At 45.7% G+C, this 12,001-nt stretch overlaps 1 protein-coding gene across 33 annotated transcripts in view, besides 1 other annotated feature; it reads right to left on the reverse strand.

Moving 5' to 3' along the window:
- GNB1 (G protein subunit beta 1) overlaps positions 1 to 12,001 on the reverse strand; it is a 105,802-nt gene that overhangs the window by 47,296 nt on the left and 46,505 nt on the right. For 29 of the 33 annotated variants that reach the window (NM_001282538.2, XM_047418072.1, XM_017001060.3 and 26 more), the window contains one exon: positions 6,609 to 6,657. The exons of the other annotated variants lie outside the window; for them this stretch is intronic. The gene's annotated coding sequence lies outside the window, so the exon portion shown is untranslated. The remainder of the gene's footprint in view (positions 1 to 6,608; positions 6,658 to 12,001) is intronic. 33 annotated transcript variants of the gene reach the window in all.
- Positions 8,941 to 9,000: an enhancer, noted in NCBI's record as "active region_40". NCBI's record gives its function as "activates an Ori minimal core promoter by ATAC-STARR-seq in GM12878 lymphoblastoid cells {active_cell/tissue: GM12878}" and the evidence as "EXISTENCE:reporter gene assay evidence [ECO:0000049][PMID:35858748]".

A 12,001-nucleotide genomic window follows, 5' to 3' on the forward strand; every position in this document is an offset into this window, starting at 1 on the left:
TAAAGTCAGAATATTTCATATTTGCAATGCAATGTGCTCCGTGTAGTGCCTCTACCCTTCATGGCAATGCAGCAGCCCAGGCCTCTCATCCAGACCCCTGAGAGTCTAGGAGGGGCACCTCAGCGGTGCCCTCAGGACCCCATATTACACAGTCACCAATAACAACATTCAGGCTGCAAGTTTGCCAATGACAAAATAGGGTACAGATATTGAAAAATAATTTCAAGTTCTGGTTCTGCAACATACAAAGAATAATGCTTTCACTAAATTGTTTTTTACTCTAATCTGCTTAATTCAAAATGGGAATGGTGTTATCTATATCACAGAGCTAAAATGAAAATTAAATCAGACAACCAATCTGAAAGTGCTCTGTCAGTCTCACAGTGATTAAACTATGACGTGTACCTTTGACTAACAATCTCAAGGACAACAGGCACCATGCTCACCAAAGTGCACACATGTGGTCCCACCACCAAGCAGCAACAGGGCAGTCCTGAGTCACCTGGTCACCAGCTAGCCGCACACCCCTGAGCCTCCTGTGCAGCACTGGATGGCTGCATCTCTGGATGGTTTGGACAACTTCCGAAGTCCAAACCGGCCCCAGTGTCTTACACCGGGGCAGGAAATTTGCTAACTTGACCAAACACACAAGGATCACAGCTCACCTCCAAGACGAAGCAGCATTTTGAAAGAGAGGAGTTTGCATGAGGAATTTAAACCAATTTCACTCACTTTTCCATTTTTCTTTCATTCCCAAGTCCAGGTCAATCTCCAAAACTAAGACTGTGGGAATTCAAAGGGCAACGGAAAAAGTCCTCAGGCCCTGCTTCCCTTACGCACCGCTCCTAACAATACTGTGAGGAATAAGGGGAGCAGGGGACCACCGCAACTGATAAAGGACACGACCACTAACGCAGCTGCAGAGCAACGCATGCGCAGACCCTCCCTCCAACACAACAGGCACTGTAGAGCCTCAGCATGGTGCTGAGCAGCATGAACCAGGCTGGATTCTAGTTTGAGGGAGACAGAAGACAAACAGGTAAATCACGTGGAGTTACAGAGGCTGGGAGCGTACACAGTCACTGCGAACGGGTGAAGTGTGCCAACGAGGGCAGGGAGGATGCTGCTTTGCATGGCTGTTAGACATGACCTTGCTAATGGGCCAACATTTGAGCAGCAGGCAGATGGGCAAAAATAACACAACTGTTCTTGTTTGAGGTGCTATTTTTTGCAATGGTAACAATTTTAAAAATCTTACCTTAGGATTTTGCCTGTGCCTATAAAGTAATCTTAACGAAAAAGTGAATGTGACCAAAGCTCTAGAACTAGAAGACAGGGAAACATGTTCAATGACCCCACAGAGGCAACGGTACTACACAATGGCCTGGGAAACACTCCAGGACAGACGACCAGGCAGGTCGGTTAGTCTGTCTTTAACAAATAAACTTCAAGGGAAAAAGGAGAGAAAGCAAACAATGGAGGGAGGATTTCTGGACTAAGTGAAGAGACTCCCCAGAATCATCTCCTTCATGTCCCAGTCACAAGTGAGCTCACTCACCCATTAGACGCTGGCAACTGGGGGAAGGGCAGGAACTATGGTGTGCGGTCACAAAGCCCTCAGAAGGCAATTCTCCAGGGAGGGGTCTAACAGCCAGGGGTGAGCCAGTGAGGCACAGCTGCTAAGAGCTTACCTCTGACCCTTGGAACTCTGAAATCCCAGAAGTGGCTACTGACTCTCCCGAAGCCTTATTATTTCTCATGCATCACAAAAAACATCTGATCTCCCATTCTGCTCTCCCTTTTCTAACCCTGTTAGCCTATGGCCTCTTTTTGCTTTTAGGGCGGAGCACAAAATCTAGCACATACTAGGACAATTGGAAATCATTCAATAGATACACATCTTCAAACATGTTGAGGCCAAATTGGAAGTCCCACTTTGATCATTTCAAAGCCAAACTTTATATGTAACTGATGGAGTCTCATGAAATGAATGGCATCCATCCAGAAGACGGGTCTAACAGGGAAAGGTGGTGAGAAACTAACAATCATGCAGCGCACACAACAGAGGAGGCTAAACTCCAAGCACTTTTTTTTTTTTTTTTTTTGAGATGGAGTCTCACTCTGTTGCCCAGGCTGGAGTGCAGTGGTGCGATCTCGGCTCAGTGCAACCTCCGCCTCCCGGGTTCATGCCATTCTCCTGCCTCAGCCTCCCAAGTAGCCAGGACTACAGGCGCCTGCCACTATGCCCTGCTAATTTTTTAAATTTTTATTAGAGACGGGGTTTCACCGTGTTAGCCAGGATGGTCTTGATCTCCTGACTTCATGATCCGCCCACCTCAGCCTCCCAAAGTGCTGGGATTACAGGCGTGAGCCACTGCACCCGGCCTCCAAGCACCTTTTATAAGGGGCCTGGAAATCCTTAGGTTTAGGGAAAGACTGCTGTGTGCCATGCCATCTGCACTCCAGTATATAAAAATAATCTTTGTTTTTACATTTACTGCTGCAAACTACAATGAATACTATGTGCTTTCCCAACAGCAAATGGGCGGTGGGGGTTAGAATTCTGTTCCTAGAAAAACTTCCGTGTTTTTATTGGCATTTGCAGGTCCAGCCCACTTAAGCAGGACCAATGATGTCTGACAGCCCTGGCTGGAAGCAGAGTGACGCTTCATGGCAGGAAAGTTGGAAGCCCCAGGTTCTAACCCAGACTCTATCTCTTCTCACCAGGTGGCCTCCAGTAGGTTTCCTAACTTCTCTCTGCCTACATTTTTTTGTCTGAAAGTGGGGACAGTAATAGTCCCCACAGCTCATGCTATGACAATTCCATTAGAATCCATGCAAGCCCCTTAGAACCATGACTGACACAGTAAATGCTTACTAAATATGACTTGCTATGAAAGCAGGTGTAAAACTGTTGCCCTGAAAGTTTTAAGTAATGTCCAGAAAACTACCTCCTGCCTCACCTGCCACACTTTCCATCCAGTCAGTGCAGTAGGCCCTTTTGCAGAAATCAAAAATATATGTAGCAGTGGCAACCAGTGTAACAGTGGAGTTAATCAGATAGATGTGATACTTTGAAATCTGTGCATGTTGTTACATGTACAAGTCTTTATGAGAACATCTGCTTTCACTTCTCTTGGGCAGATTCCTAGCGGTGGAATGGCTGGATCATACTACAGGTGTGTGTTGAACATTCCAAGAAAATGCCAGGCCAGGTGCAGTGACTCATGACTATAATCTGAGCACTTTCCGAGGCAAGGCAGGAGGATCACTTGAGCCCAGGAATTGAAGACCAGCCTGGGCAACATACTGAGACCCCGTCTTACAAGAATTAAAAAAAGAAAAAAAAAAAAAAAAAAAAAGCCAGACATGGTAGTGCGTGCCTATAGTCCCAACTACTTAGGAAGCTGAGGCCAGAGGATCACTTGAGCCCAGGAGGTCATGGATGCAGTCAGCTATGATCACACCATTGTACTCCAGTCTAAGAGACAGAGTGAGACCCTATTTCAAAAAAACAAAAAACAAACTCAAAAAACAAAAAAAACCAACTCTTTTCAAAATGGTTATGCTGGGTCACATTCCCAACATCCTATAAGCAATGTGGAGAGTCCCGGCTCCTCACGCCCAACAACGCTGGGTGGGTGTCACAGCCATTCTAATGGGGGCGTGGGCTGTAGTCTCCATCTGCATCTCGCTGACTGCTGAGCTTCTGAGGCACTCAATTGCTGTCTATACAGTTTCTGGTAAAGTGTCTGTTCAAGTCACTTGCCTCTTTTTTATTGGGTTACCTGTTTTCTTAATATTGCTTTTTTTTTTTTTTTTTTTTTTGACACAGGGTCTCGCTCTGTTGTCCAGGCTGGAGTACAGTGGTGTGATCGTGACTCACTGCAGCCTCAACATCCCGGGCTCAAGTGATTCTCCCACCTCAGCCTCCCAAGTAGCTGGTACTACAGACACACAACACGATGCCTGGCTAAATTTTTTTTTTGGAGACAGTCTCGCTTTATCACCCAGGCTGGAGTGCAGTTGCACAACCTGGACTCACTGCAACCTCCACCTCCCAGGTTCAAGTGATTCTTGTGTCTCAGTCTCCCAAATGGCCGGGATTATAGGCATAAGCCACTACACCTAGCTAATTTTTGTATTTTTAGTAGAGATGGGGTTTCCCCATGTTGGCCAGGTTGTTCTCGAACTCCCAACCTCAGGTGATCCGCCTGCCTGGGCCTCCCAAAGTGCTGGGATTACAGGTGTGAGCCACCGTGCCCGACTGCTAACTTTTTTTTTTTTTTTTTTTTGAAGAGACAGGGGTCTCACTTTATTGCCCAGGATGGTATCGAACAACTGGCTTCAAGCAATCCTCCTCCCAAAGTGCTGGGATTACAGGTGTTAGCCATAGTACCTAGCCAAAATTGAGTTTTGAGAGTTCTTACCTATTCTGGATACAAGTCATCTAAAAGACATTTGCTAATATTTTCTGCCAGACTATGGTTTGTCTTTCGTTCTCTGTTTTTTCTAAGGAGCAGAAGTTTTAAATTTTGAACAAATTCAATTTATAAATGTTTTCTTTTACGCATTCTATCTTTGATCTCACATCTAAAAACTGTTTGCTTAATTCAAAATCTCATTTTTTCTAATTTTACGTTTTATATTTAGGTATATGATCCATTGAGTTAATTTTTTTTTTTTTTTTTGAGACGGAGTCTCACTCTGTCACCCAGGCTGGAGTGCAGTAGCGTGATCTTGGCTCACTGCAAGCTCCGCCTCCTGGGTTCATGCCATTCTCCTGCCTTGGCCTCCTGAGTAGCTGGGACTTCAGGTGCCCATCACCACGCCTGGCTAATTTTTTGTATTTTCAGTAGAGACGGGGTTTCATCGTGTTAGCCAGGATGGTCTCGATCTCTTGACCTCGTGATCCACCCTCCTTGGCCTCCCAAAGTGCTGGGATTACAGGCGTGAGCCACCATGCCTGGCCTTTTTGTTTTTGTTTTTGTTTTTTTGACACGGAGTCTCACTCTGTCACCAGGCTGGAGCACAACGGTGCAATCTCAGCTCACTGCAACCTCTGCCTCCTGGGTTCAAGCGATTCCCCTGCCTCAACCTCCTGAGTAGCTGGACTACAGGGGCGTGCCACCACACGTGGCTAAATCTTTTCCTTTGTATTTTCGTAGAGACGGGGTTTCACCATGTTGGCCAGGATGGTCTCGATCTCCAGACCTGATGATCTGCCCACCTTGGCCTCCCAAAATGCTGGGATTACAGGTGAGCCACCTTGCCTGGCCTGAGTTAATTTCTGTACATGATGTCAAGTTCTCCTTTTGCGTAAGAATATCCAATTGACTAACCAGGCGTGGTGGCTCACGCCTGTAATCCCACAGCTTTGGGAGGCCAAGGCGGGTGGATCACCTGAGGTCAGGAGTTCGAGACCAGCCTGACCAACATGGTGAAACCCCGTCTCTACTAAAAATACAAAAATTAGCTGGGTGTGGTGGTGAGCGCCTGTAATCCCAGCTAATTGGGAGGCTGAGACAGGAGAATGGCTTGAACCTGGGAGGGGGAGGTTGCAGAGAGCTGAGATTGCACCACTGCACTTCGGCCTGGGCAACAGAGCAAGACTCTGTCTCAAAAGAAAAAAAAGAATATCCAATTGTTCCAGCCCCTAATTGCTATTCAATTTAATTTTGCTTTTTAATTTAAAATTATTTCAAACTTCAAAGAGTTGCAAGAATAATACAAAGAAACCATGTACCCTCCTCACCCAGACTCACTCACTACGAACATGGCTTCATTATTCCCACTTTATTCAAACAAAAAGGTTTTTGTTTTGTTTTGTTTTCCTGAATCATGTTCACCTTACTTTTTTTTCTTTTCTTTTTTTTTTTTTGAGACGGAGTCTCGCTCTGTCCCACAGGCTGGAGTGCAGTGGTATGATCTTGGCTCACTGCAAGCTCCGCCTCCTGGGTTCACATCATTCTCCTGACTCAGCCTCCAGAGTAGCTGGGACTACAGGCGCCCACCACCGCACCCGGCTAATTTTTTGTATTTTTAGTAGAGACAGGGTTTCACCGTGTTAGCCAGGATGGTCTCGATCTCCTGACCTCGTGATCCACCCAACCTGACCTCCCAAAGTGCTGGGATTACAGGCATCAGCCACCGCACCCGGCCATATATTGGTATTTCAACTAAGATCTGATTTGAAAAAAGGGCTCTCCTGCTTTCTAACGAAAAAAACTAGCGATGTACCACTCTGATTCAGAAGGTAAATCCTCATCACTGGGACCCTAAACCTTCTTGCTCAACACTAAATGGAAGCTTTTTTTGAGGATCAAATTGTTTTGAAAACCAACTTTGGCTTAAAAGAGATAGAAAAAAACTGTAACAAAAACCAGGGTATTGACCAGGCATGCTGGCGTATGTCTATAGCCTCAGCTACTCAGGATGCTGAGGTGAGAGAACCCCTTGACCCCAGGAGTTAGAATCCAGTCTGAGCAACATGGCAAAACACTGTCTCTTTAAAAAACCAACCCACCAGCTATTTATAAAAACAAACTCTGAAGAAATTTATATATTGTCTTTCTAAAACTGATGAGGATCAAATATATCAAAATTACCTTAATTCAGAAGGGCTTCTGGTCTGGTCTCCAATACATGTAAATTTGTCTGAAACAAACAGAAAAGGCTGTATTTGTATTGCACTCAGGTTGTGAATAAAATATTCTATTTTGCTAGTAGCTATATTTTATGCAACGACACATAAATTTGACCCTTCCCTATTACTATTTCTCCCCCAAAATTGCTTTATTTAGCAGTACTGTCATATTTTGTTTTTCAGCATGGGAACAAAATAAGAAATCAGATCTCAACTTCTTTAAGAATCCTTAGAAATGCCCCAGGGAAAATACCTTGAATTAAACTGAAAAGTATGGGCACAGAGGTTAGAATCCTATCACTAGAAAAATTACAGTAACAATTTAAAAACTAATGCAGGCCGGGCCCAGTGGCTAACCCCTGCAATCCCAGCACTTTGGGAAGCTGAGGCAGGCAAATCACCTGAGGTCAGGAATTGGAGACCAGCATGGTCAACATGGTGAAACCCCATCTCCACTAAAAATACAAAAAAAAAAAGTTAGCCAGGCATGGTGTCACAAGCCTGTAATCCCGGTTACTCAGGAGGCTTAGACAGGAGAATCGCTTAAATCCGGGAGGTGGAGGTTGCAGTGAACCGAGATCATTCCACTGCATTCCAGCCTAGGTGACAGAGCAAGAATCTGTCTCAAAACAAAAACACACAACAGTCTGGGCGCGGTGGCTCACATCTGTAATCCCAACACTTTGGGAGGCTGAGGTGGGCGCATAACCTGAGGTCAAGAGTTCGAGACCAGTCTGGCCAACGTGGCTAACTAAAAATTAAATGTTTTTAATTTTAATGTGTTTTAAGAACACATTATGTTCTTGGCAGCGAACTAAAAAAAAAAACGTTTCTACTAAAAATTAAAAAAATTAGCCAGGCGTGATGGCAGGCACCTGTAACCCCAGCTACCTGGGAGGCAGAGGCAGGAGAATCACTTGAACCCAGAAGGTGGAGGTTGTAGTGAGTGGAGATCACGCCACTACACTTCAGCCTGGGTGATAGAGCAAGACACCGTCTCGAAAAGAAAAAAAAAAAAAAGCTAGGTACCGTGGCTCCTGCCTGTAATCCCAGCACTTTGGGAGACCAAGTTGGGCGGATCACAAGGTAAAGAGTTCGAGACCAGCCTGGCCAATATGGTGAAACCTCATCTCTACTAAAAATACAAAAAATTCGCCGAGCGTAGTGGCAGGCACCTGTAGTCCCAGCTACTCAGGAAGCTGAGGCAGGAGAATTGCTTGAACACAGGAGGCGGAGATTGCAGTGAGCCGAGATCGTGCCGCTGCACTCCAGCCTGGGTGACAGTGCGAGACTCTGTCTCAAAACACACACGCACACACACACACAGACACAACACTAATACAATTCAACAAATTCTGAAGATTAATTTAATCCAGACTTTGCCTGTTTGGCATGACAGTGGAGAGCATTTCATCTGAATCTCAAGGAAGCCACTAAATAACTACTTTGTGAGTCCTGGCAAGTCTATGTTGGGACACTTCCAATCCCTCCCTCTGTCCCTCTCCTGCTGACACGGTCCCATCCAGTGCCTGGCCCTGGTGCCCAGGAAGGTGGCTTGAATGGTGACAGAGATCACAAGAGAGGTTTCTGACTCCTCTTGACATACTTCTGGTGGAATGAAAATATGTCCAATTCTAGATTTCTTCTGATTTCAGAACATTTATTGTATTTTTTTTATTTTTGAGACAGCAGTCTCGCTCTGTCACCAGGCTGGAGTGCAGTGGTATCATCTCAGTTCACTGGAACCTCCGACTCACTGGTTCGAGTGATTCTCCTGCCTCAGCCTCTTGAGTAGCTGCGATTATAGGCACATGCCACCACTCCCAGCCAATTTTTATATTTTTAGTAGAGACGGGTTTTCACCATATTGGTCAGTATGGTCTCGATCTCCTGACCTCGTGATCTGCCCACCTCGGCCTCCCAAAGTGCTGGGATTACAGGCGTGAGCCACTGCACATGGCCACATTTATTAATTTTTTGAGACAGATTCTCACTCTGTCACCCTGGCTGGAGTGCAGTGGCATGATCTTGGCTCACTGCAACCTCTGCATCCCAGGTTCCAGCGATTTTCCTGCCTCAGCCTCCTGAGTAGCTGGGATTACAGGCACACGCCATGCCTTTTATTATTTATTAGTAGAGATGGGGTTTCACTATGTTGGCCAGGCTGGTCTCAAACTCCTGACCTCAGGTAATCCGCCTGTTTCAGCCTCCGAAAGTGTTGGGATTACAGGCCTGAGCCACTGAGCCTGGCCTGATTTCAGAACATTTAAAGATGCTTCTGTAATCGCTCCCTCAAATTAAACTATGTGAAAAGACCACTTGTGGAGGCTTCACAGGTCACCACCTGCCTATTAATTCAGTGTCTTGTGAGTCTGCAAACTCACATGCACACATCTAGTCTGGAGTCAGTAGATGAATCAACAAACTGAAATATCTCCCAGTTGAACTGTGAATTCTAATTCATTTACTTAAAGTAGTTTCGTTTTGCAATTATGCTGCTTATGTACAAGCAAGCACGTACTTTTCCGGCAGTAAAAATGAGTGTGGAAGGAAAACAGTTTGGCAGTTCCTCAAAAAATTAAACACAGAATTACCCCATAACCCAGCAATTCTACTCCTAGGTATATTCCCAAAAGAACTGAAAGCAGGGATTCAATGCATGTACACATTATGTTCTTAGCAGCAGTACTCAGCAGCCAGAAGGTGGAGACAGCCCAAATACCCACTGAGCATGAATGGATGAATAAAATGTGGTCTATCCAAACAATTGAATATTATTCAGCTATAAAGATAAAGGAGGCCGAGCGTGGTGGCTCACGCCTGTAATCCCAGCACTTTGGGAAGGTGAGGCGGGTGGATCACCTGAGGTCAGGAGTTCAAGACCAACCTGGCCACCTCGTCTCTATTAAAAATACAAAAATTGCCAGGCACGGTGGCTCACGCCTGTAATCCCAGCACTCTGGGAGGCCAAGGCGGGCAGATCACAAGGTCAGCAGATTGAGACCATCCTGGCTAACACGGTGAAACCCCATCTCTACTAAAAATACAAAAAATTAGCCGGGCATGGTGGCGGGCGTCTGTAGTCCCAGCTACTCTGGAGGCTGAGGCAGGAGAATGCCATGAACCCAGGAGGTAGGGCTTGCAGTGAGCCAAGGTTGCACCCCTGCACTCCAGCCTGGGCGGGGTGACAGAGTGAGACTCCATCTCAAAAAAAAAAAAAAAAGAAGTCCTGGTCCTGTCTCTGCTAGAACACAGACAAACCTCACAAATATGCTAAGTGACAGATGCCATACACAAAAAGCCACATATATACAACCCCATTTACATGAAATATCCGGAACACACAAATCCAAAGAGACAGAATGCAGTGGTTGCCAGGGGCTGCATGTGTCTGCGTGTGCATGCACATGTGTGTGCAGTGGACAATTATTTAATGGGTACAGGGTTTCCTTTTGAGGTGATGAAAATGTCATGGAATTAGCTAGAGACGGTGGTTGCAACACATTGTAAATGTACTAAACGGCACCGAATCATTCACTTTAAAATGGTTTATGTTATGTGAATTTCACCTCAGAAAAAAAGTTGGGTGTGAAAAGGCACACAGGAGTAAACAGTGAATGATGCAAACTACCCCAGACTTCAGGAAGCGAAGCCTCGCTCCGGGGCAGGGTCCTATGAGCATACCCGAAAAGTGCCACCAAATCAAGTTTCAAAGCATGGGTCTCAACCTCAGCACAATGAACATTTTAGGCAGGGGTGTGTGTGTGTCCCCAGGAGGATATCTGGCAGCATGCCAGTAGTGCTCCTTTCCCCAGCTGTAACAGCCACCTGGCATCCCGAGAGGCAATACTGACCCCAGTTGAGAACTCTTCAACTGTCACAATTATCTCAACCACTAAATATAAATCTTTTCAAGTACTTTCCAGATCAAGGGACAGGTAGGAAGAGAAATACTACTAAAAAAAATTATACATAATCTGCTCTATTTTATCATTATTAATTATTTTTTTGAGACAGGGTCACCCTCTGTCAGCCAGTCTGGAGTACAGTGGCACAATCATGGCTCACTGCAGCTTCGACTTCCTGGGCTAAGGTGATCCTCCTGCCTCAGCCTCCTGAGTAGCTGGGACCACAGGTGTGTGCCACCATGCCCAGCTAATTAAAAAATATATATATATTTGTAGACATGGGGTCTTGCCATACTGCGCAGGCTGGTCTTTAACTCCTGGGCTCAAACGATCCTTGCAGGTCGGCCTTCCACGGTGCTGGGATTGCAGGCACAAGGCACCGCACCCAGCTGCTCTATTTTAATGCCTAGATTGCCCTGTGGCTCAAATCATGACTCAAGATTGGAGTAAGGATGCTAAAAGTGCTATCAAATCACCTTAGCCTGGATTCACATGGAGAGTTGTCTGGACCCATTTCTGGCTAAAAACAAGATGACCCAAATGTATGCTCTTTTTCTGACTATCCAGCTCATAGAACCCCACACTAAGGACAGGACTACCAGTCCCACAATAATGTAACCCTAAACCAGTAGCACTACCCTTAAAGAACATCAGGAGCTGGGCTCGCACCTCCCAGTGCTTTGGGAGGCCGAGGCGGGTGGATCACCTGAGGTCATGAGTTCGAGACCAGCCTGGCCAACATGGTGAAACCCTCTCCACTAAAAATACAAAAATTACTGGCCGGGTGCGGTGGCTCATTCCTGTAATCCGAGCACTTTGGGAGGCCGAGGCGGGCGGATCACGAGGTCAGGAGATCGAGACCATCCTGGCTAACTCGATGAAACCCCGTCTCTACTAAAAATACAAAAAATTAGCTGGGCGTGGTGGCGGGTGCCTGTAGTCCCAGCTACTTGGGAGGGTGAGGCAGGAGAATGGCGTGACCTCGGGAGGCAGAGCTTGCAGTGAGCTGAGATTGCGTCACTGCACTCCAGCCTGGGTGACAGAGCAAGACTCCATCTCAAAAAAAAATTAAAATAAAATAAAAATAAATTTAAAAAATAAAAAAATTAGCCGGGCACGGTGGCATGCACCTGTAGTCCCAGCTACTTGAGAGGCTGAGGCAGGACAATCAATTGATCCTGAGACAGGGAGGTTGCAGTGAGCCAAGATTGCATCACTGCACTCCAGCCTCGATGGCAGAGTGAGACTCCGTCTCCAAAAAAAAAAAAAAGAAAAAGATGGGCACTTTTTCAAGGCTCTTGATAAAATCAACTGACTCTATACAGCTAATTTAGCAATATTAAATATTAATATGACTTCTTTGCACATATCCTAGTACTTATACTTTTATTTCAGCATTTTTCAAAATCTAGAAACTGAATCCTTGAGACATACCTAGAGAATTTCT

Source organism: Homo sapiens, chromosome 1 (assembly GCF_000001405.40).
Source record: "Homo sapiens chromosome 1, GRCh38.p14 Primary Assembly".
Classification (NCBI taxonomy): domain Eukaryota; kingdom Metazoa; phylum Chordata; class Mammalia; order Primates; family Hominidae; genus Homo; species Homo sapiens.